The following is a 24139-nucleotide window of genomic DNA, read 5'->3' on the forward strand; positions in this document are numbered from 1 at the left end:
AGATGGAGTCTCGCTTTGTCGCCCAGGCTGGAGTGCATTGGTGTGATCTCCGCTCACCGCAAGCTCCGCCTCCCAGGTTCACACCATTCTCCTGCCTCAGCCTCCCGAGTTGCTGGGACTACAGGTGCCCACCACCACGCCTGGCTAATTTTTTGTATTTTTACTAGAGATGGAGTTTCACCGTGTTAGCCAGGATAGTCTTGATCTCCTGACCTCATGATCTGCCCGCCTCAGCCTCCCAAAGTGCTGGGATTACAGGCATGAGCCACTGTGCCCGGCCTGGACAAGATATTTTGAGGGCCATTTTTCAGCCTAACAGTAAATGAATGACTAATTGGATGAATACTTGGTGATGGCCACACATCTTCTTCTGAATGATGGACAAGAAATTTTAAAATGCCCACCCTTCTAACCTTCCTCTGAGGCTTTAACCTTATTTATTTATAAGGGATGTGAGTTTTAGAATATGAACTCCCCCCATGGCCATGATTTCAGGCCTCATGATTTCAGGTGGTTTAGGGATACCCATATTGTAATAGAAAATTAGATTTCAGTCTCATACCCAAGTTGCAGACTGGTCTCAGATAACATCTGGGGTCAACTTCTGTGCTACCTCATCCACACAATAATGATTTATTCCTTTGGATCCTGGTTGAGTTTCCAGTATTAACACTAGTATTAACAGATGTTTGGTGCATTCACCACTATGGTCAGATGCCTGGAACCAATTTGATGCCTTCTGAATTTTGTGTTCCCCACTGGAGATGTTCATGCAGTATCATTTAGCAAATAGTTCTCTTCCTTTGCCTCACTTTTCAGCAGGCAAGCTGATGATTAAGTGCTCCCTTGGGTGCCATTGTGTTTTGCCTAGCTCTTCCCCTGCCATGGCTGTCACTCTTCTTTCTAGTGACCTCCTGGTGCCATCGTGGCTCAGAGTCTCAAGCTTATCACAGACCAGCCAGTCCCTCGTGTCAGTTTTCTCAGCTTGTTTTGCTGCCAGAAAAAAGATTTGCTATTTCATCTGATTTATTAGTTCAGCTAGCTTGATTTAATTAGCAAACACTTATTTATCAAAGTCACCACTAGAGAACTTTTGCTTTTGTCCTTCTTCATTTTTTCAGGATCCCAGAAGAAACTGATTAAAATGCACCCCCCAGCCAATCCTCATTTCTTGTTTTCAAATTTATAAAGCGTGTGTTTTCCTATTTCAATGAAATGCCATTTGTTTAATGCGTACCACTTCAAACCTCTCTAATTGTTTCAAAACATGTATTCTAAGTTGAATGTGAAGCACTGCCTATTTTATTTTGGATTTCAATATATTGATTATTAGAGTTACTTACCTATATTTAGGCATTTAAATATCTACTCACTACATGATACAGAAATAATTTGATTCAAATCCTGGCTTTATTTCTTAAACGCTTATGATATTGAATACCTGCTTAATTTCTCTGTGCTTCAGAAATGATGATTAGTAACATTATTGCTGTATCTGATTACAGGGCTGTGGGCATTAAATGAGAAAATTCAGAGAAACTGACACTTGCTAAGAGCTAGCTTGTATTATTGTTGGTCTCTAGCAGGGGCACCTGCACATGTCTAACTGCTGCTGGTTGTGGGGATGCCCATACTGTCATAGAAATGGTATAGCATCAATTGTTGCTGCATCAGTCCAGACAATTGATGCCTTTGAATATGTAGACATTTTGGTTGATTTGGAAAATTTTAATTTTTTTTTCAGAGTCCTTACATTTCCCCCTTTGATTAAACTGAAAATCCATGATCAATTTACGGTTAATGGAAAGCTGGCTATAATAACTATAGAAGACTTACATGGTAGTGAGGCAGCAGTTTCACTAACAGCTGCATCTGTGGGAAGTCTATACTGAGAAGACTGTCTCTCTTTGGACCATATTTGCAGGAAATAGTGGCCTCAATGAAAGAAGAAAATATCAATTTAAACTCATTTATTATTACCATCTACAAAAACAAAATGGCTGCCTATGAGATAATTTTTTTTTTTTTTTTTTTTGAGACGGGGTCTCACTCTGTCACCCAGACTGAAATGTAGTGGTGAGATCTCAGCTCACTGCAGCCTCCGCCTCCCAGGCTCAAGTGATCCTCCCACCTCAGCCTCCCGAATAGCTGGGACTACAGGTGTGTGCCACCATGCCTGGCTGCCTATGGGCTAAATCCAAGAAGAATTTCACTCATATTTCTAGTCAAGTGCCTGGAATGATTATTTAATAATCAGTTTAGCTTTGCCTGTATCTATCCTTGAGATGAATATTTAGGACTGGGTAGTAATGAACACCTTGTCTTTAGATTTTTTTTTTTTTCTTACTCTCAATATTACTGGCCTTAAGTTTGACTCTCCACATGATTGGAACAGAGAGATTCTGCACGTGAGAGATGGAGTAAAGGTCCCTCTAATCCTGCGGGTTTCCTTGGAAGGTCTAATGACTTTGTAGTCCTGTACAAAGGCTGTCTTCTGGGAGGAACTTGGCCACTGCTTACATCTCACTGGCTTGTAGACAGGGTGAAACCAGCCTGTTGCTTCCTGTCTGAGAAATTTGAGTACCGGCTGTCCTGTCTTATGATTCAATAAAAGCCTTTGAGAAATCAGAAAACTCATGGCAGAGCTTTTGAGACAACACCTCAGTGGGATTCAGATGAAATAATATGTAAAGTCAACACAGTTCAATATCCTTATAAGCAATTCTAATGGAATTGCATTTATCTCATTGGGAGATCCTGGGCCTAACAGCTAGACTGTGTTAACTAGACTTTGGCTTCTGCAAGAGTAGTTGTAGAAGTGTGACTCTCCATTAAAGGCAAAACAAGTTATTAACTCAATTGTACTTGGTACATTTTCCTCATTATAAGGTTGTCTTTAGCTGGAGTTCAGTTATTTTACTTTTTTAAAAACAATTCTTTTGAGACACGACTCGCTCTGTTTCCCAGGCTGGAATGCAATGGCGCGATCTCAGCTCACCACAATCTCCGCTTCCCGGGTTCAAGCGATTCTCCTGCCTCAGCCTCCCGTGTAGCTGGGATTACAGGCACACACCACCACACCCAGCTAATTTTTTATATGTTTTGGTAGAGACAGGGTTTCACCATTGGCCAGGCTGGTCTCGAACTCCTGACCTCAAGTGATCCACCTGCCTCGGCCTCCCAAAGTGCTGGGATTACAGGCATGAGCCACCGTGCCCAGCCAGTAATTTTACTTTAAGATATCCAATCACCTACAGTTTAAAAGATCCCTGAAGACAATCTCTTACTTCTAAAAAATAGTTTAGATATTGGTCTGAGTGGTAGACTCATTCTTTGTGGACCTAATTACATTATCTCCAGCCATGCTACTTCCTCAAGAAAAAATTCAGAGTGCAACTACTGCAGCTTTGACTAGGGACATTTACTCTCTTCTCCAAATCGTGGGCCGCTAGCCGTCTCGACATTTGTTTAGAACTCTCTGCTTTCCTCTCATGGCTAAGGTGGGTGGGTCGTTCTCTAATCAGTAGCTCAGCATTTTGATATTTCAGGTGCATGTCAGGGCATTCAACTATAAATTGCCAGTGAGCCATCTCCTGACAAAACTTGCTTGAGACAGGATATTTGAGAGATACAGTCCAGAAATCAAGTGAAATGTAAATTCCTTGTTTTTTGTTTCATCCCTATATGGTTAGATCATCAGAAGCCTGTACACTTGGACTATTGTCTCAGACTGTGTTGTTTACTGGAAAAAGGCATGTGTCAGGATTTATGCCCTGGCTATTTATAGAAAACAGCTATGAAAAATGCACATATATGATATTTCTGTGCTTTTGCTCTATTGGGATTACAGATATTGGCTTTTACGTTACTCTCTGTCCTTTTTGAAAAGATCCACGTGATAAATTCCATTTATGATTTCAGTGTTCGTAACCAGAAAATAGTTTCCCTTCATATGAATTTCTAGGTTTCCTTTTTATTGGGCCATGGGAAATAGGCACCTCAATGTGATTCTTTTTTATTTTGGGAAAACCAGCGTTAAATTTAGAGCTCAAGGAGGGACCTAGTGAAGCTTATTGTCTTATTCCTTTGTCATTTAATTTTTTCTTTTATTTTATAACATCTCAAGTATGTGGTTTTATTTTTTTGGAAGTAGACTTGGTATAAATTGTATATACATATATCTCCTTGTGAGTTATCTGTGTCATTCCCAGCTATAATATATATGTTAGATCTAGAGGACATTAGATAGTCACATTTTGATCTAGATTTGGGTGACAAATTATATTACAATGGGGCCTATTATACTTTTCCTTTATCTTACATTAAATCATCAGACTCAAGAGCAGTTTTATTTTTTTATCTTTGGTTGATTCCAGTTCCTTGACCACAAAATGAAGACATCTTTGGTCATTGCAAAGCTGCCATCCCTCCACTCCTCACCTTATTCCCAATGGCTCCCTCAAGCAAATCCTTCCCAACTGCCCAGCTAACCTTTCCTGTCTCCTCTGCAACTCCCTTATCTCTGGGTTGAGTACCTCATTCTTGTTCCTTACAGCTCCATGTGGCCTGGAACTGTGGAGAGTCCTGAAACCAGCTGAGGCGGATGGAAGAAGGCCAGTGCGGTTGTTATGGAAGGTGACCTCCCTCTGGATTCTTTTTCTCTCTCTTTCTTCCCCTTCCCTCCTTTCCCTCCCTTCCCTCCCTTCCCTCCCTTCCATCCCTTCCATCCTCCTTCCCTTCCCTTCCCTTCCCTTCCCTCCCCTCCCCTCCCCTCCCCTCCCTTCCCCCCACCTTCCCCCTCCCCTCCCTTCCCCCACCTTCCCCCTGCCCACTCCCTCCCTCCCCTCCCCGCCTCACCTTTCCCCTCCCCACTCCCTCCCCTCCCCTCTCCACTCCCCTTCCCCCTCCCCAGTCCCTCCCCTCCCCTCCCCTTCCCTCTCCTTCCCTTCCCTTGCCTTGCCTTGCCTTCCCTTCCCTTCCCTTCCTTTCTCTATCTCTCTCTCTCTTTCCCTCCCTCCCCACCGCCGCCTTTCTTTCTTTTTGGCAGAGTCTTGCTCAATCACCCAGGCTGGAGTGCAGTAGTGAAATCATAACTCACTGCAGCCTTTAACTCCTGGGCTCAAGTGATCCTCCCACTTCACCTTCCCAAGTAGCTGGGACTACAGAAGTGTGCCAGTACACCCAGCTAATTAAAAAAAAAAAAAAAATATATATATATATATTTTTTTTTTTTTTGGTTGAGGCTGGGTCTTGCTGTGTTGTCCAGGCTGGTCTTGAACTCCTGGGCTCGAGAGATCCTCCCACCTTAGCCTCCCAAAGCATTGGGATTATAAGCATGAGCCACCATGCCCAGCCTGTTTCTTTATACTGTTTAAAAGCCCTTGATCTCTTACCCTTCTAAAAACTGTGATTCTTGAAATTTTACCCCCAGAATTTCCTTCCCTAGAGGGCTTTATGATGCCCCAAATCTCACATTGGTTGGCCAGCTCAAAAAAGCCCTATAGGTCATCTTGCAGATGGCCCAAACATGCATGACAGACGCTGGTCCCCCTCCTCTTTGGTCTGAAACATTAACATTCGGGGTGGGTAGAAAGTGAAAGTGCAGGAGGCACCATGACCTTCTGGAGGAAACGATCACTGACCAGCCTCTGCTGGAAGGCAGCGTAAGTCTCCGGAACCCCCCTCCCCACCCAGCTGTCTCAGAAGAGCTCTGATCAGGGTCAGCTTGCTGGTGTGTCCTCGAGTCATTGGCAACATATATGGCACATGTGTGTTGAAATAGTGGGGCACAAAAACAGAAGAGGGACCACATGGTCCTTCCTAGGGCGGAGGCCTGGGAGTGAGGAACAGGAGAAGTCAGGTGGGGAATGCAGAGAAGAAGAAGAGGGAAGAGGACCTGAGAGAGGGAAGTGAGAGAAGGAGTAGAAAATGGGGGGACAAGGGAATAAACAGAAAAGGAAAAGGGCAGATGGAGAAAAAAAGAGTGAAAAGATGGGGAAGAAGAAGGAAGAGAGGAGTGAGATGCCAGAATTCCTTCGTGTGCCTCCAGAATTCCCAGGAAATGCTCATGATGTTAGCTCATATTTGCTGAAGTCCAGGCAAGTTCAAAATCCTGTTGAAAATGGAGCAAGTGTCCTGCTTTGCCAGATGACATTCCAATTACCTCAGGGTTGGAGGCTCCCGCACCATCGCCCACTCCCTCCACACCCGCAGGGCTATGGGACTCCCTGGGTTGCGGAGGCGGTGCTGCCGCCGCATGGGACAACAGCCAGAGATGGCGGGGAATCCTAGAGAATCAATCCCAGATGCTGTGCTGTCTTTCTCAGCCATCAAGTATGAAAACAAATGATTGTGGCAACACATTTTTGGGGGAGGAAAGCCAACAACCTCACACGCCCACATGTGGTCTTAGCTACATAGCAGTGGCGAAGGGCCAAGTAGGGCAGCTTGCGAAGTAGAGAAGATGGATTTCAGTGCCCGCCTCCTCCCCGTCGCCTGTTGGGTCTGGTCTTTTTCTCCACACCACCCCCCCGCCCCCCCGCACCTTCAAAAGGAAAGAGCTCTCTAAGAATTTGAGTTGGTTAAAAAAGAATGTACTAAAATGCTCTAAAATTAAATAATAGTGATAGTTGCATGACTGAACATACTATTAATAAAAGCCATTGAACTCACATTAAAACAGTGAATTTTATGGAATGTGAATTGTATCTCAATTTTTATTATTTTAAAAAGAATGTTATTTAAAAAAGTTATTTAAAATGTTAATATGTTATTTTAAAAAGATTTTAAATAACATATTAATATGTTATTTTAAAAAGATTTTAAATAACATATTAATGTTATTTTAAAAAGATTTTAAATAACATATTAATATGTTTTTTAAAAAGATTTTAAATAACATATTAATATGTTATTTAAAAAGAATATGTGTTATTTAAAAAAGAAAATGGGGCTGGGCGTGGACTGGGCCGGTAATCCCAGCACTTTGGGAGGCCAAGGCATGGGGATCACTTGAGGTCAGAAGTTCAAGACCAGCTTGGACAACACAGCAAAACCCTGTCTCTACTAAAAATACAAAAATTAGTCGGGCATGGTGGTGCACACCTGTAATCCCAGCTACTCGGGAGGCTGAGGCAGGAGAATTGCTGGAATCCAAGAGGCGGAGGTTGCAGTGAGCCAAGATCAGGCCACTGCACTCCAGCCTGGGCGACAGAGAGAGACTCTGTCTCAAAATAAATAAATAAATACAATAAAATAGAAAATGGGTCGTCTTGAGAGATAAAAGGCTCCTGGTCATTAGGAAGATTCTAGCTGACCTTTTATGCCTAGACATAAAAGTAAAGGAAATTCCTGAACTGGGAAGGCAGTGGGACGAAGTGCCTGCTAAAGTCCCACTTATAAGTCCTGGACTTATATTCAGGCATTACGCTCCATCTATGTGTATAATCAGTAACAGAAGGGGAAGCCCTATAAATTCTGGGAAATACTGTCTCCTAGGCAAATGTCTGGTGAGTGGGCCCAAGTTCAAGGCTGAAAATAAGAGTTTAGCTTAAAGTCCTCAGGATTCCACCTTAAACTTCTCGCCAAGGGTTTGGGACTGGCAGTGCGGCCCTCTTAGCTAGGACGCCTGGCTGGGGCGCCTGGTCCAGGGAAGCTGGCTCCCTTCTCAGAGGGAGAGGCATGGAAATAAAAGACTAGGGCATAGGGTACTCTCCAACCTTTGGATACTCCAGGCAAGAGATGACTCAGAGCCAGACCAGACTTTGGATGGGCTGAGAGGGAATGTGTCAGCTTTTTAGCCCTTACTCCTTTACACGAGTGGGATGGAGCGAAAGATACAGGCAGAAGGAAATAAGGGTGGCTTGTTTACATTGTTTTGGGCATTCTTCTAGTTTAGCCTCATGGAATTAGATGAAATTTAGTAAATCCCCTCTTCTGGCACTTGAAGTGTTACTATCACAGCCCAGGATCTTATTCATCCCTGGAGGGTAATTACCTGATTGTAGTTTAGTATCTAATAGTTAGCCTTATTCCCCACCCTCACCCCCACCGCTTCTCACTGTCTCAATGCCTTTCTTTTTCTTTGTTATTGGCAATAAATTTTGTTTTCTTTGGGTTCAGAAGGCAAGAGGAGCCCCAGTCCTAGAGAAAACACTTGGCTACAACATATGGTACTATCCAGAAAGCAACACTAACCTCACAGAAACAATGAACACTACTAACCAGCAGCTTGAACTGCATCTGGGAGGCGAGAGCTTTTGGGTGTCTATGATTTCTTATAATTCTCTTGGGAAGTCTCCAGTGGCCACCCTGAGGATTCCAGCTATTCAAGAAAAATGTAAGTAGAGCATCAACTTCTTCCTTAGGTGCCTGGTCCCATCAATTGGCCAAGGAGCAGTCCCTGTGCTCTCAAGGGTGGCTGTTTCTCTTGAGTCAAAATGAAAATGGAGTGGGAACCTTTTAGGTTGTGGTGAAGCAATGAGAATTTGCTGGTAATTAATGAATCACTTGAAGTCATGTTCCTTTGGAACAAAGCCTGCGTTAAAAATCAGAGACTTTATAAATTACAGAATACAAAGCCATACACCTAGAAGTTCTGTGTGCAGCTTTGATTTGTTCTGGTCTGGGTGAATGTAAGCTGGGTCAAGTCCTATGAAACTGTCCTATTTCTCACATTTGTCCTCCGTGACCGAAGCTGCCCTTGAACTCTTCTCCCCACAAATGGGTACTCACCACATCCCCATCCTTGGTTTAATGCTTGCTGTCCTGTTTTCTTCCTTTTCCCCTTCCATTTGTCACTATGGAAAAATTCTAGTGTTTATACTTGCCAATAAATTGTTCATTACACTTTTGGTTAAGTAGTTTTTGACATATTACTGCTCCCAGGCAAACTCATATTTATCCTGTTTTGGAATAAAAAACTTTCATTCAAAGAATTGCAGACAATAGATTTCCTCTTTTCTCTCTTATTTTTCTCTTTCAAACTTAGTACTATCCCTTATTCTATAAATTATCTTATTTATTTTACTACCTTTTTCTTCCTCAATAGGATGTAAATGCCATGAAGGCAGTGATTTTTTGTCTGTTTTCCTTTCTTTTTTTTAACCTAATTCCCAACACTTAAAATAGCATAGAGCAGTTGGCATAGAGCAGGTGTGCAGTAACTATTTGTGGAAACATATCATAGTCAGGAATGTTCTCTCCAATTCACCACCTTTCTCTATTTGCTTACACCTAGACTGGTTCAGACATTTACACAACCAGTTCTAGAATTCTCTGCCTGTGCTGCCTTCCATCTCTTCTCCTTAAACCCTCATTTTATAATTCCTAGATATTTATATTTTTGTATTTTGAGCTACACTTGATATTATTTTAGTTAGCATTTAATAGTACTCCCTGTAGTCCTCATTTCCTGACATCCTAGTTCCCGCCTGTCCAACACCCTAGTGATGAAGTTCCTGACAAATGCACGTGTCATTGGGGCACACATTCTTTATTAATAGAGGTGCTGTTAAATAGTAACCTCAGTTTCCCAGTGTGGCCCCAGGATGGGAGGTGGTAAAGAATAGGGTATAAAAGCATGGGCTTTGGAGTCCAGCAGCCCCGGGTTCAAATCTTTGCTCTTCCACAAGATACCATTAACCTTGGGCAAGTTACCTAACTTCTCTGAAGATTAGCTACTCGTAAAATGGAGCTATTATATAATAATACCTACCTCACAGAGCTGTAGTGAAGATTAAATGAGATCATGTATGTAAAATGCTTTGTCTGGTGCTAATTATTACTATTGTCATTATTATTATTATTATTATTATTATTATTATTATTATTAATTTTTGAGATGGAGTTTCGCTCTTGTTGCCCAGGCTGGAGTGCAATGGTGTGATCTCAGCTCACCACAACCTCCACCTCCTAGGTTCAAGCAATTATCCTGCCTCAGCCTCCTGAGTAGCTGGGATTACAGGCATGTGCCACCACACCAGGCTCATTTTGTATTTTTAGTAGCGACGGGGTTTCTCCATGTTGGTCAGGCTGGTCTCGAACTCCTGACCTCAGGTGATCCACCTGCCTCAGCCTCCCTAAGTGCTGGGATTACAGGCGTGAGCCACTGCTCCTGGCTTATTGTCATTCTTAATAAAATTTCTGATTGATCAAATTTCTGTTAGACACAGATTATCGACTTTAAAAATATTATAAAATACACTTTAAAGTTATGCTAAATTCACTTAGGTTTTTTTTGGCTTTGTGTCAGATACGACTGTGTGATCATCAATTATAAGGGTCCTAGATCAGGTATTGGCACACTGCAGCTTGCAGGTTAAATCTGGTTGGACACTTGTTATTGTAAATGAAGTTTCACTCTAACACAACCACACATATTTGCTCACATATTATTTATGGCTTCTTTTGTGCAACGGTGGCTAAGTTGAATAGTTATGACAGAGACGACCTAGCCCACAAAACCTAAAATCTAAAATATTTGCTATCTGGCTCTTTACAGAGAAACTTTACAGATGCTAGTCCCAGACATAAAAGAAAATAATGTTCTGGATGTGCACGATGGCTCACGCCTGTAATCCCAGCACTTTGAGGCCAAGACGGGTGGATCGCTGAGTTCAGGAGTTCAAGACAAGTCCAGGCAACATAGTGAAACCTTGTTTCTACAAAAAAAAAAAAAAAAAAAATACAAAAATTAGCCAGGCCTGGTGGCATGTGCCTGTAGTCCCAGCTACTTGAGAGGCTGAGGGGGAAGAATCGCTTGAGCCAAAGAGGTTGAGGCTGCAGTGAGCCGAGATTGTACCACTGCACTCCAGCCTGAGTGACAGAGCGAGACCCTGTCTCAAAAACAAACAAAAGAAAGTAATATTCTACAGAATTTTGCTTACTAAAGTGGAGGCAACTGGAGAATGAGAATAATAACTAGAGAATAATAAGATAATTTTTGTAAGTATAACTATCATTAAGTAATAGTTATCATACATTGTCTACTAGTATGTGTCAGGAATTGTGCTAAGATAACATAGGTTTTCCCATTTTAGCCTTGACATGACTCATGATGTAGATGCTGTGAGATCTATTTTATAGACGGCAAAGGGATTCAGGCAAGCTTAGTAATGTGCCCAAGGTCTCTGGAGTGGGATGATTCCAGCTCGGATCTGCAGGATTCCCAACTTGTACCATATCCCACAACCTTAGATGTGTTATTCATAAAGTGACTTGAATTCCGGTCACAGATGCTGTGTGACACTGAACTGGTTATTGACCTGTGCGGGCCTCCACGTTCCCCTCTTGGAATAAGGGCTTGGAATGAGGTTCCTTCTGCTCAGCACGCCCTGGGTTTTGTGAGACCCGAGACAGCAGGCAGCGGTGGCGTGGTCCCAGGCAGGGCATCGGAAAGCCCGGCCACTGTGTCATAAGGCCAGAGGAGGAAGATGGGCCCAAGTTGGGGCAGAGCTCAGGATGGGCCAGGACGGTTGGCAAAGGAGAAGCAGCACCAGCACGTGAGCCCCGGGTGACTGTCTTCATGCAGATCACAAGAAATCAATGGCTTTCACAGTCAAAGCCCCTCCCTGCTTCTTCAAGGAAGGATCTGTGTTTCCCACCACACCTGGGGATGTTTGGAGTAATTGCTCAGAAAGCTCTTGTTGAATGATGGAAGGACCCGGCGATTCGTTTATATTGAGTAGAGTGATGACTTGGAAATTCCCCTTTTGGCGCCCCTTGGTGTGGCCAGGCTTTCCCCTTTCAAGGTTGACTCATGGTTTCCTGGGGCCGGCGCCACGCCCCTGTGGTCTCCGCAGTCTCTGCAGTGCACTTGGCGCTTTAGACCCGGATCTCCCTGCTCCTCAGAGCTCCAGTGTTGGTGAGAAGGAGTGTGGGTTTAGACACCAACACTGGCTTCTTCAGGCCAGGATTTGTGGGCAATCATTTTTTAAAAAAGTGCCTCCAGGGAGATGAGGAAGCTGCAGAAGCAGGCCAGGACAGGGCAGAGGCTGAGATGAAGGTGGGCTTTCAGGGCTGCCAAAACGAAGCACTGCAGACTGGGGGGCTTCAAACAACAGAACTTTATTGTCTCATGGTCCTGGAGGCCAGAAGTCCCACATCAAGGTGCTGGTTGGCCATGCTCCCTAAAGTCTCTAGGGGAGAATCCTTCCTTACCCCTTCCAGCTTGTAGTGGCCCCAGGTATTCCTTGGCTTGTGGTAGCTCCAGTAACTCCCATAAATCCAATCTCTGCTTCAGTCTTCACATGGCTAGCTTCTTGTGTGTCTCTGTTTCCATGCCCAGATTCCTCTTTTCTTATAAAGGGCCCACTGTCTTAACTAATTACATCTGCAATGGCCTATTTCCAAATACAGTCACATTGTGTGGCACTGGGTATATACTTTGGGGGGATACAATTCAACCTGTAACAGGTACAATCTGAGATAAAAGCCCCAGGGAGGGGGGTTCCCACTGGATCTTGCAGGGGACTCTATCTAGAGTGTGAGTGACATCTCATAGTCATCCCAGCCAAGCAAAACACAAGCACACAGTAAGAAGGAAGCTGAGTGGGTCTGGGTGGAGCGCCAACATTGGCTGCTAGAAGAGTCTAGTTACATCTCCAAGGCTCCAGCAGGGACTTTCAGCCAGGACTGGCTGGGTATGCTTCCAGGCGGTGAGCAGGGGAAGGCTGGAAGGAGAAACTCAGAGCCCTAGGGTTAGGTGGGGTCAATCTCCAGGCTCTGTGCTTCTTGCCCCGGCCTCTGCTCCTTCTGTGGCTTCACATTTCCTCCATGCCTCAGTTGTCCTTCTCAGAGTTACCTTTTCAGGTTGACAACTTACCTGGCCTTGCTGCTAGGACTAGCCCCTGGAGTGTCTCATAAGGACCCTGTTTGGGAAAAGGATCCGTCAACTGTGGCTTACAAGAACAAGACTCCTAAATATACACACAGCCTGCTGGGGTTTGTTGCCAAGGAATAGCAGGATGCAGGACCCCTGGTCCCCACCCCAGATTCCTACATGTGGCCTAGGCTTCCAGCTTCAAAAGACTTTTGGGTTTCTTTTTTTTTTTTTTTTTGCAGGACACTTTTGTGCCTGTATCCAGGATCATCTCTGACATTCATTGAAACACTCTTCCTGGCTGGGCGTGGTGGCTCGTGCCTGTAATCCCAGCACTTTGGGAGACCGACTGAGCTGGGCAGATCACTTGAGGTCAGAAGTTTGAGACCAGCCTGGCCAACATGGTGAAACCCCATCTCTACTAAAAATACAAAAAATTAGCCAGGTGTGTTAGCATGTACCTATAGTCCCAGCTACTCGGGAGGCTGAGGCACAAGAATCACTTGAACCCAGGAGGTGGAGGTTGCAGTGAGCCAAGATCATGCCACTGCACTCCAGCCTGGGTGACAGGGCGAGACTCTGCCTCAAAAAAAAAAAAAAAAGAAAGAAAGAAAGAAAAAGAAAAAGAAACGCTTTTCCCATGGATTCGAGTTTTGCAGGTTGAGGAGTGCAACGCTGGTGAGGATTGGGTGAGGGGAGAGCATGCCCTGGAATTTCTGAGCCCCGCCCAGTTTGTACCTTCCACCTCTGCCTTGCTGCACCTCCAAGAGTTCTCTTCTGTGTGTTCGAATATTTTCAGTAAGATCTCTGTCTGATTCTGATTAAGTTCCAGATGTTGGATTGCAAGCCACACACTCAACTTTTCTATTAAATAAATCCTTGTGACCTGTTTCCAGATTATTTTGGCCAGTCCTGCAGAAAATGTTGCCATTTATGTATTGATCCATACTAGGTAATTTGGATGGCAATGTCTTTATCTTTCTGGTAGAAATGCAATATTTGCTGCCTTGAGGATAGGAATTCATATCCAGTTTGTGCAGAGCCAGACTATATAGTGAAAGCGTAAAGCCATCTCCCTGGTATGATTTTAAGGTCACCATCTCCCAGCTTCCCAGCCACACAATTCCCCAGAGCCTGAAATTCTACCTTTGGAGATTCTCTGTTTCAGGTTTCCTTTCCATTTCACTTGCAGAGACACCTGTGGAAGGTAAGTCTTTTTAGTCATCAACTGTCTAGTGAGATCCTTTTCTGGAAACAGGTCAATTTGGGGTTAGGTAAAGGAAGATTAAGAAGCCACTTACTCCTCAAGGTGTTGTGTAAGGAAAAAGGATGCAATAAGGGGAGTGAAAAGAGCCCCATCCGGGGAGGCTGCAGTGGAGATCCTGAACTTTGGCCTTGTTTTACAGCTGAGGCAATGAGGATGCCAGTGTGGTTGTTGCATTTGGGGAATGAGTTGGGTAGCTGTGAAGCAGTCCTTTTCTCTCCTTTCAGCATTTCAGTGCATTGAGGTCATGCAGGCCTGCGTTGCTGAGGACCAGCTAGTGGTGAAGTGGCAAAGCTCTGCTCTAGACGTGAACACTTGGATGATTGAATGGTTTCCGGATGTGGACTCAGAGCCCACCACCCTTTCCTGGGAATCTGTGTCTCAGGCCACGAACTGGACGATCCAGCAAGGTAGCCAGGGCGGAACTCACAGGTTCCCTCAGTGCAGGGTTTGGTTTCATTTTCATCCATTTTTAGATCTTTAACTTTGGCTTCAAAGCTGTTAGTGTGGTTAATAGCATTTGTCAAGCTTGTGCAAGCTTAATGAAGTGACACGCTTCTTGGTATTTCCAAGGCAAGGCTGGCACAGAAAGCTGTGGGTGTCAAGCAGACCAGGTATCTGATCGATCTCCAGGTGGAAAACACCATCTTAACACCCACCATCAGAGAGTCCTTCCCGGATAGCTGGGTCATCCCATGGATAACTCCAGAATGTGGATCCCAGCTGGCCTACCTAGGATATTTTCTTCAGTTCTGATTGCCTGTTTAAGAGTTAGGCCCCCTTCCCAGGTGATTGTTATAGGAATAGCCTTCTTTTCAGGAAAGTCCCTGCCCTACGTAAGATATGCGAGTGAGGCTTTACTCTTTATTTTTAATTTTGTTTAAATTTTTATTTTCTAGAGACAGGGTCTTGCTTGATTGCCAAGGATGGAGTGCAGTGGCACGATCATAGCTCACTGTAACCTCAAACTCCTGGGCTCAAGTGATCCTCCTGCCTCAGCCTCCCTAATGAGGCTTTACCCTTTTAATCCTGTCACCACAATCATTTCTTAATGCTTCAAACATCCATATTAAGAATAATACACAGGCAGGGATGCAGGCAAGTAGAGGAGATAGAAGTCACAGTGTTTGAGATCCACAGGGTGATGATATGTTGTTCTAGAACTTAATTAGGCAGCGTGTTCAGCGATCCTATGGATCTCTCTGCTGCAATAGTATTTGGTCAGAACAGACCTGGGGATTCCCTGCCTCCAAAAAATAAAAAGCTAAAAAGCTAAATTTAAAAATAAGAATTAGTTAGAAAATCTGAGAAAAGCAATAGATATTAGAGACCATTCAACCTAACCTGTTTATTTTCCAGAGGTGGAAACTGTAGAGAAATGGAATATCTTCTATAAGTGTTTGGCCATAACTCTTAGTCTAGTATTCCCCCCACTCTGCCGTGCTCTGCACTTACACTTTTTTTTCTTTCTTTTTCACAGATAAATTAAAACCTTTCTGGTGCTATAACATCTCTGTGTATCCAATGTTGCATGACAAAGTTGGCGAGCCATATTCCATCCAGGCTTATGCCAAAGAAGGCGGTATGAATGGACAAGACCCTGTGGGGAAAAGGAAACAGTGTGACCTGTCCCACATGCCGATAAGGCTGCAAGTGCCTGTAGCTCATTCCCAGCCATCTTAGGGCTCATTTGTGCTTCATCTTGTAGTGAGCTCTGTATGTTATGAATTTGCTGAATTCTGAAGCTGGGGTAGACATTAGAGATCATTGAGTCCAATCCCCTCATTTCACAAATGGAAAATTAAAACTCAGAGAGGTGAAATAACTTGCCCAAAGTCACAAATAAACAGTGCAAATAGAGCTGCTACCAGCAATAACACTGAATTAAGACCACATCAGGGAGCCTAGAGTTCATCCTAAGCTAGGGATGTTAAAAAATTATTTTTAATTATGTAGCAATAAGCAAAGGCTTTACTGGTGAATTGCTCAAGCTTTACTTTTATCTTTTTGGAAGTTCATGTCTTCCAGATTCAACACTGGAAAACATCTTCTGCCACTCAAAGGTAGCCTATGGAGCCATATTCTTCAACTATTTGATAATAACTACACTTTACAGATATGAATGAAAAAGCTGGGTACCAAATTGGAGACATCTATGAGAAAGGACTTTTTCAAGTGGTCTTGTTGCCACTTCTCTTCTTGCTTAAGAGAGATGGTTCTAGAAAACAATTTTCCCAAACAAGCTGATTCATCAATTCCCTACTCAACCCTCACCCGTCGCCTCCAGCACTATGGTTTGGTCTGAGTACTGGCCAGGGCCTTTGTGGGGGAACGATCTCCTGGAGTGCGGTTCAGTGATTATCATTTATCCCTCTGTCCTTTCCAGTTCCATCAGAAGGTCCTGAGACCAAGGTGGAGAACATTGGCGTGAAGACGGTCACGATCACATGGAAAGAGATTCCCAAGAGTGAGAGAAAGGGTATCATCTGCAACTACACCATCTTTTACCAAGCTGAAGGTGGAAAAGGATTCTGTAAGCACGCCCATAGCGAAGTGGAAAAAAACCCCAAGCCCCAGATAGATGCTATGGATAGACCTGTTGTAGGCATGGCTCCCCCATCTCATTGTGACTTGCAACCTGGCATGAATCACTTAGCTTCTTTAAATCTCTCTGAAAATGGGGCCAAGAGCACCCACCTTTTGGGGTTTTGGGGGTTAAATGAGAGTGAAGTGACAGTACCTGAGAGGAGAGTCCTGAGGAAATGGAAGGAGTTGTTATAATTTGTCCTGGTTAGGCCCTGAATTGACCTCCCGGGAGCTCCCCGACCATCATTCCCAGGAATGGCGTGCCTGGCTTAAAGAGTGAGGAGGAACAGACCCTGTCACCATGACTTCTACTGCCCCTGCCAAATCATGCTTTTGTTTTTCAGTCCACCTTATCTCCTGACATCTTAAATACTGGGCAAGGCTTGGATTCTTGCTTAGGCTAAATAATTTTTTCTTATGGTAAAATACACGTAAAATATTTTTCCAGTTTAAACATTTGAAAGTGTACAATTTAGTGGCATTAGAAGCATTCACAATATTGTGCAACCATCACCACTATTTCCAGAACTCTTCTATTTCTGCCCAAATAGAAGCCCTATACCCATTCATTAGTCACTCCCCATTCCTCTCCTCCCACAGCCCCTGGCAACTACCAAACTGCTTTGTGTCTCTATGGATTGCCTATTTTGGATATTTCATATACATAGAATCATAAAATATGTGGTCTTTGTGTCTGGCTTCTTTCATGTAGCATGTTTTCAAAGTTCACCCATGTTATAGCATGATTTTGTACTTATTCATTTTTATGGCTGAATAATATTCCATTGTGTGGATATTCCATATTTTGTTTATCCATTCATCAGTTGATGAACATTTAGGGTGTTTCAACCTTTAGGCTATTGTGAATAGGGCTGCTATGAACAGATGTCTGCTACGAACATATGCTGCTGTGTACAAATATGTGTTTGAGTTTGTGTTTTTCGTTCTTTGGGGCATATACCTAGAAGTTGAATTGCTGGATCATACTGTAACTCTAGTTTAACTTATTGAGGAGCCACCAAACAGTTTTCCACAGTGACTACTCCACACTATACATTTTTTACTAGCAATGTATGAGAGTTTTCATTTCCCTGCATCCTTGTCAATACGTGTTATTTTTCATTAAAAAAAATTATTATGGCTGTCCTGGTAGGTATGTAGTGGTTATCTCATTGACTTGCATTTCCCTACTGACTAATAATGTTGGGCATCTTTTCATGTAGTTTTTGCCCATTTGTATATCTTTTTTTTTTTTTTGAGACGGAGTTTTGCTGTTGTTGCCCAGACTGGAGTGCAATGGCACGATCTTGGCTCGCTGCAACCTCCACCTCCCAGGTTCAAGCGATTCTCCTGCCTCAGCCTCCCAAGTAGCTGGGATTGCAGGTGTGCACCACCACGTCCAGCTAATTTTGTATTTTTAGTAGAGATGGAGTTTCTCCATGTTGGTCAGGCTGGTCTCGAACTCCCGACCTCGGGTGATCTGCCTGCCCCAGCTTCCCAAAGTGCTGGGATGACAGGCATGAGCCACTGCGCCCGGCCAGCCCGTTTGTATATCTTCTTTGGAGAAGTGTATTTTTCATCTTTTTTCTTATGTTTAAATTGGGTTATCTTTTCGTTATTGAATTTATAAGAGTTCTTTATATATTCTGGATATAAGTTATTTATCAGATATATGATTTGTAAATATTTTCTCCCATTCTTTGGATTATCTTTTCATTCTTGATATTATCTTTTGATGCACAAAAACTTTGAATTTTAGTGAAGTCCAGCTTGATCTATTTTTTTCTTTTGATGTTTGTGTTTTTAGTGTCATATCAAAGAAACCATTGTGAAATTCAAGGTTGTGAAGATTTATCCTATGCTGTCTTCTAAGAATTTTTATAGTTCTAGTTCTTATATTGAGGTCCTTAATCCATCTTGATATTTAAGCAGGACATGAATAGGGGTCAGAATATGAGACAGCTGAGCTTGGAAGCACAGGTTCCAATGCTCTTATTTTGGTGCTACTGGGACACAATTTTCAGTCTGGTTTGGCTGTGGTGTTTGACCTTTGTATTTTTCCTTTAGCCAAGACAGTCAATTCCAGCATCTTGCAGTACGGCCTGGAGTCCCTGAAACGAAAGACCTCTTACATTGTTCAGGTCATGGCCAGCACCAGTGCTGGGGGAACCAACGGGACCAGCATAAATTTCAAGACATTGTCATTCAGTGAGTATTTCCTTCAAGCCTTAGGTACCTCTCCCTCACGTTTACCTTACATCAGAGAGAAATGACATCTGCCAAAAGCTGGAGGAAGCCAAATGAAAGGGCAGTGCCTAGTGCCCTGCCATCCTGCTCTCTGTTCACCAACCTTCCTGGAAAGCATATAGGTGAGGAGATGGGAGGGAAGAGCAGGCAAGTTGAGAGCCGAATTTGGAAATGCTGGTCATTTTGGTCGTTCCTCATGGGCAGCCACAAATCATCTGGAGGAGGAGGTGTCAAATTAATGCCAACTTCAGTCTTAGCACCAAACCAGCTCCCATCTCAAGGCTGTCTCCCCGTTCATAGTCACCAGTTTCTGCATGTTATAGGTTACGGTATGTATTAGTCTGTTTTCACGCTGCTGATAAAGACATACCCGGGACTGGGTAATTTATAAAGAAAAAGAGGTTTAATGGACTCACAGTTCCACGTGGCTGGGGAAGCCTCACAGTCATGGTGGAAGGTGAAATGCACATCTTACATGGTGGCAGTCAAGAGAGAATGAGGACCAAGTGAAAGTGATTTCCCCCTATAAAACCATCAGATCTCATGAGATTTATTCACTACTATGAGAACAGTATGGGGGAAATTGCCCCCATGATTCAATTATCTCCCCCTGGGTCCCTCCCACAACATGTAGGAATTATGGGAGCTACAATTCAAGATGTGATTTGGGTGGGGACACAGCCAAACCATATCACTGTACAACAGGGCCTTCAAGGGAAAACCTTGGTTAACTCAGGACTACTGACCCATAGGAAGGGGCTTAACCTCATCATTTGTGGAGGTTTTTTTTGAGCAAAAAGACATATGATATATTTAACTTACCCACTTTTACATTAAAAAATAGCAAGAAAAATTTACTAGAGACAACAAATAATGTAAAATAAAATGTAGCTTCATATGATGGCTGGTTAAGGGAGATATTTAGAGGCAGGCAGATGGAATGAGGAGGGGGATGAAGCAGAAAGAAGGAAGGAGAATGGGAGAAACAGATATATATTAATTTTGCTAAGTCCTTGAGTGACAGAGATTTGATTTTTAAGTACGTACTAAAACTGTCTTAAAGAATGAACAACGCTTTTTAGATTAAAAATGAAGGAACACTGCCAAGTTTTTGCAATAACTGAGGCAAGCTAAAAATTGCTTGAAATATTCTTGAAAGCCTCTTATGCATCACATTTTTCAAGAATAAAATGCTTTATCACTCTGGAAAATGTGAGTATGACATGTTTTTTTTACAGAGAAAACATATTCTGTTTTGATGGACTAACATTGCCCTCTAGGAACTCTTTTTGATATGCTGTTTAAATTTTTTTAAAGCTGTATTGAATTTTTGCAACACTGGGCACAAATTTCATCAGCTCAAGGAGTTTTCTCCAAGGGTTAAATGAAGGCAAGATCCAGCCCTGGAACCTAGAAGTTTCCTACCCTGGTCTATAGATTATAAATCACCCTGCTTCCATTTTTGATCCTCTATAATCCATTTTCCACACAGCAGCCAGAGTTTCAAACCCTGAATTCTCTGCTTAAAAGCCACAGTGACTTTTATTATATTTTAAAGAAAATCCAAACTCCTTCCTATAACTTTCAAGGTCTTTCATCATCTGTCCCTTACTGACCACATTTTTCCTACTGCTTTCTGCCTCTATTTATCTTCCTTACCTTGTTGCTGCTTCAAAGCTTTTGCATCCACTGTTTCTTCTGCCTGGAATGCTTTTCTCCATGGTTTTGCATGGCTGGATCCTTCTCACTATTAAGATCAGCTTGAATTTCACTCCTTCCTTGGACACCTTAGCTAAAGTTGCTGTCTGGACGCAGTGGCTCATGCCTGTAACTCCAGCACTTTGGGAGGCCAAGGCAGGAGGATCACTCAAGGCCAGGAGTTCAAGACCAGCCTGGCCAACATGGTGAAACCCAGTCTCTGCCTAAAATACAAAAATTAGCCGGGCTTGGTGGCACGTGCCTGTAATCCCAGCTACCAGGGTGGCTGGGGCAGGAGAATCACTTGAACCCAGGAGGCGGAGGTTGCAGTGAGCCAAGATGCACCACTGCACTCCAGCCTGGGCAACAGAGCGAGACTCCATCTCAAAAAGAAAAAAAGTCTAAAAATTAGCTGGGCATGATGGCTTGCACCTGTAAGTCCTAGGTACTTGGGAGGCTGAGGCAGGAGGTTGCTTGAGCCCAGGAGTTCGAGGCTACAGTGAGCTATGATCATGCCAGTGCACTCCAGCCTGGGCGACAGAGCAAGACCCATCTCAAAAAAAATTTATAAAAATTAAAAAGTAAGTGCTCAATAAGTATTCACTGAATGAATGCTGTTGGAATGAATGCTGCCAGGAAGACACCTAGATGGGGAGGCACAAAATTCTGTTTTTTGTTTTTGTTTTTGTTTTTGTTTTTGAGATGAAGTTTAGCCCTGTCGCCTAGGCTGGAGTGCAACAGCATGATCAGCGCTCACTGCAACCTCCGCCTCCCAGGTTCAAGCGATTCTTCTGCCTCAGCCTCCTGAGTAGCTGGGATTATAGGTGCACACTATCACACCCGGCTAATTTTTTGTATCTTTAGTAGAGACGGGGTTTCACTATGTTGGCCAGGCAGGTCTCAAACTCCTGACCTGGGGTTTTTTTAGTGGAAAGAAATTGAATTTAACTGAAAGAAAACTAATAAGACATTGTGTTGCTGAAGCTACTAGAAGAAAAAGTTAATCATTGATTTTTGTCAAGAAGGTGAGGAACTCACTACTGACTTTTGTTCTTTGTTTTTCAAAGGTGTCTTTGAGATTATCCTCATAACTTCTCTGATTGGTGGAGGCCTTCTTATTCTCATTATCCTGACAGTGGCATATGGTCTCAAAAAACCCAAGTGAGTCTGCAGACAACAGTGGGTGCCTTAAAAATCAGGGACAAAAAGGGGTTGAAGTCATCATAGGTGCTTCGTAGGAGAGGGCACTCTACCATTAAGGGGTGTTCATTCATTTATTAACTTGGTGCGTATTTATTGAGGTTATTAAAGGCCACGCTCAGTGGCTCACCGGAATTCTGACCAAGCAAGAGCACTTTCGTTTCCCAGAGCTCCATGCCCAGGTCTAGGCCTTTTTGAGGCCAGGAGAGTGCCAGCTGCCCCACAGGCTCTGTCTGCTCCATTTGCCATCTGAGACTGGAGTTGGAGAGCAGACCCTTTCTCTCAGTGTCTAGCAGGGCCCCTGGCTGCAGCAAGAGGCCTTCTTGCGAGCTCTGTCTCAGGCAGAGCGGGGAGCAGTGTCTCCACGGTGTTGGAGTGCTGGCCAGTCGTCTGTGGGTGCAAGCTTATTGCTTGCTTGTGGTGCAGTGTTGAGGGTCTGGCTGCAGGGGCCTTTAACCTGCTTGCCCTGGCCACTGTGGGGAAGAAAGCATGTCTTCAGGGTCTTAGACTTTCTCTCTGCAGTGAGCCTTATGGCACCCTAATGGTCCTCCCCTGGTTGAGCTGTCTCTCCAAATTAGACAGTTGTGAGTCATCTCTGTCAAGCAGCTGCACTTAGTTAATGGTCAAGCTAATATCAACCTCCGTTACCAACTGTAGGTAATAACCAAGCCACCAGCATAGATTCTTGTACATTATGCACTTAAGTAATCATTTTGATCTTAGCATGCATCAGAATCAGGCCTCACCCCCAAAGTTTCTGATTCAGTGGTTCTAGGGTAAAGCCCCAAAATGTTCATTTCTAACAAGTTCCCAGGTGATCCCAATGCTGCTGGTTGGGACCACACTTGGAGAACCATTGCAGGAAAGTATGGGTAGCTTATAAGGTTTATAAAATGTTGTCTTTCCCAGAGGATAAGCCTCAAAGGAATGACTCTGTGATGGTGCAATTTACAGCATTGGGACCAGGTATGGAGATGCTGGGATGGGAGAGAGGGGAAGATAGGCTTTGTATGGGGAGAGTCTCCTTTGATCACATCCCACAGAGAACTTGCAATGTCACCCCCCAACACACACCGCAAAACAACTCCACTTTCCCAGGTTCTATTAGGCAGACATGCCCTTATTTAGGAGGGAAACTTACAATTCCCTTTAGCACAGCCTCACTCTTTTGACTCAGCCATATGGTGCTAATGCTTCTTGGATTCAATTCCCATCTTAAAATCTTCTCTCTCATTAGCAAATTGACTCATCTGTGTTGGCCCACCGTTCCCAACCCTGCTGAAAGTAGTATAGCCACATGGCATGGAGATGATTTCAAGGTAAACTCTCCTGTTTTTATTAAGGAAATCATTGCCGTGGGAGGTAGACGAGGTGAATGGAGATGGGGAAAGAGTCCTAGGCTGAGCTTTTTTCAAGGTTCACATCAAGAGAACTGGAGTTGAAAAGTCTCAGGGAATGGCAGGCAGGGCAGATGGACTCAGCCTTCCTGGAATGACTTTGACTTCATGCTTTGACAAGGGGAAAGGGCTTCACCAGGCTCATGAGGACCCAGTGCGTTCCCAGGTGGAACTGGTCCCATAAAGGATGCTGCAGAATAAAGACACTGGCCCTACCCTTCCTGACCTGATGGGCTAATTAGAGAGAGAGGAGCCTTGGCTATAGGATTTGAAGCCATTTACAAAGCAGCCAAGAGCACATTAATCTAAAGACTGTCTAAATATCACCAGGGAATGTTGATGGGCATGGCAGTCTGAGGCTGCCTCAGGTTGTTTTTCTCAGGCTGGGGACGTCAGAGTCAGGCTTTATTTAACTGGCATTGGGGTTTTCTAGTGAGTATTCCTTAACTAGAAACCCTCCATTTGCATAAATTTTTAAGTGGAAAACCGTTAGGGAAATTTTAAGGTTTAATTTCTTGCTTACGTAGAAACAAGCCCAATCAAATATAACCTTTAAATCCTTGTTACTGAAAGGCTGTTTCCAGTTTTTCCTTGATGCACAAATTTTAAATATTAGTCCTCGTTCCCACTCAGAAGTCTTTTTTGAGCATGGGCCTTTTGTTATAATGGGCTTTCTTTCTGTTTCCTCCTCTTATCAGTCCGGTATACTGGACTGATTTATACCCCCATTTACTTTCCTGCTTATTAAATGTCATTTAGAGAGTAAATGGATTCATAGGCAGTGCTCTCTGATAACTAACATGCTTTTTGAATAATCCGTAGGTTGGACCTCTAGAGCCGGCACTTATTAATCACTCACTACATGCCAGGTGCTGGGCTAGGCCCTAGGGATACAAATGACAAAGTCACTGTCCCTGCCATGAGGCC

The 24139-nt window shown here is 43.6% G+C and overlaps 1 protein-coding gene across 10 annotated transcripts in view, besides 5 other annotated features; it reads left to right on the plus strand.

Annotated features, from left to right (window-relative positions):
* Window positions 1–24139, plus strand: part of IL31RA (interleukin 31 receptor A) — an 83062-nt gene that overhangs the window by 52006 nt on the left and 6917 nt on the right. For 9 of the 10 annotated variants that reach the window (XM_011543142.3, NM_001242638.2, NM_139017.7 and 6 more), the window contains 8 exons: window positions 4556–4635; window positions 8122–8338; window positions 14312–14494; window positions 15565–15666; window positions 16471–16617; window positions 18738–18878; window positions 21683–21776; window positions 23053–23134. In XM_011543142.3, the coding sequence (XP_011541444.1) occupies window positions 4556–4635; window positions 8122–8338; window positions 14312–14494; window positions 15565–15666; window positions 16471–16617; window positions 18738–18878; window positions 21683–21776; window positions 23053–23134 (1046 nt within the window). Of the gene's footprint in view, window positions 1–4555; window positions 4636–8121; window positions 8339–14311; window positions 14495–15564; window positions 15667–16470; window positions 17823–18737; window positions 18879–21682; window positions 21777–23052; window positions 23135–24139 lie in introns of those variants that run through there. The other variant, NM_001297570.3, reaches the window with a different exon arrangement.
* Window positions 11107–11608: an enhancer, noted in NCBI's record as "H3K4me1 hESC enhancer chr5:55198729-55199230 (GRCh37/hg19 assembly coordinates)". NCBI's record gives its function as "activates a minimal SCP1, AML or CMV promoter by ChIP-STARR-seq in naive H9 embryonic stem cells {active_cell/tissue: H9 hESC(naive)}" and the evidence as "EXISTENCE:reporter gene assay evidence [ECO:0000049][PMID:30033119]".
* Window positions 11107–12108: a biological region, named in NCBI's record as "H3K4me1 hESC enhancers GRCh37_chr5:55198729-55199230 and GRCh37_chr5:55199231-55199730".
* Window positions 11398–12047: an enhancer, noted in NCBI's record as "active region_22559". NCBI's record gives its function as "activates an Ori minimal core promoter by ATAC-STARR-seq in GM12878 lymphoblastoid cells {active_cell/tissue: GM12878}" and the evidence as "EXISTENCE:reporter gene assay evidence [ECO:0000049][PMID:35858748]".
* Window positions 11609–12108: an enhancer, noted in NCBI's record as "H3K4me1 hESC enhancer chr5:55199231-55199730 (GRCh37/hg19 assembly coordinates)". NCBI's record gives its function as "activates a minimal SCP1, AML or CMV promoter by ChIP-STARR-seq in primed H9 embryonic stem cells {active_cell/tissue: H9 hESC(primed)}" and the evidence as "EXISTENCE:reporter gene assay evidence [ECO:0000049][PMID:30033119]".
* Window positions 19024–20223: an enhancer, noted in NCBI's record as "BRD4-independent group 4 enhancer chr5:55206646-55207845 (GRCh37/hg19 assembly coordinates)". NCBI's record gives its function as "activates an origin of replication core promoter dependent on BRD2, P300/CBP, MED14 and CDK7 cofactors, and independent of BRD4, by STARR-seq in HCT116 cells {active_cell/tissue: HCT116}" and the evidence as "EXISTENCE:reporter gene assay evidence [ECO:0000049][PMID:35650434]".

Source organism: Homo sapiens, chromosome 5 (genome assembly GCF_000001405.40).
Source record: "Homo sapiens chromosome 5, GRCh38.p14 Primary Assembly".
In the NCBI taxonomy this organism is placed as follows: domain Eukaryota; kingdom Metazoa; phylum Chordata; class Mammalia; order Primates; family Hominidae; genus Homo; species Homo sapiens.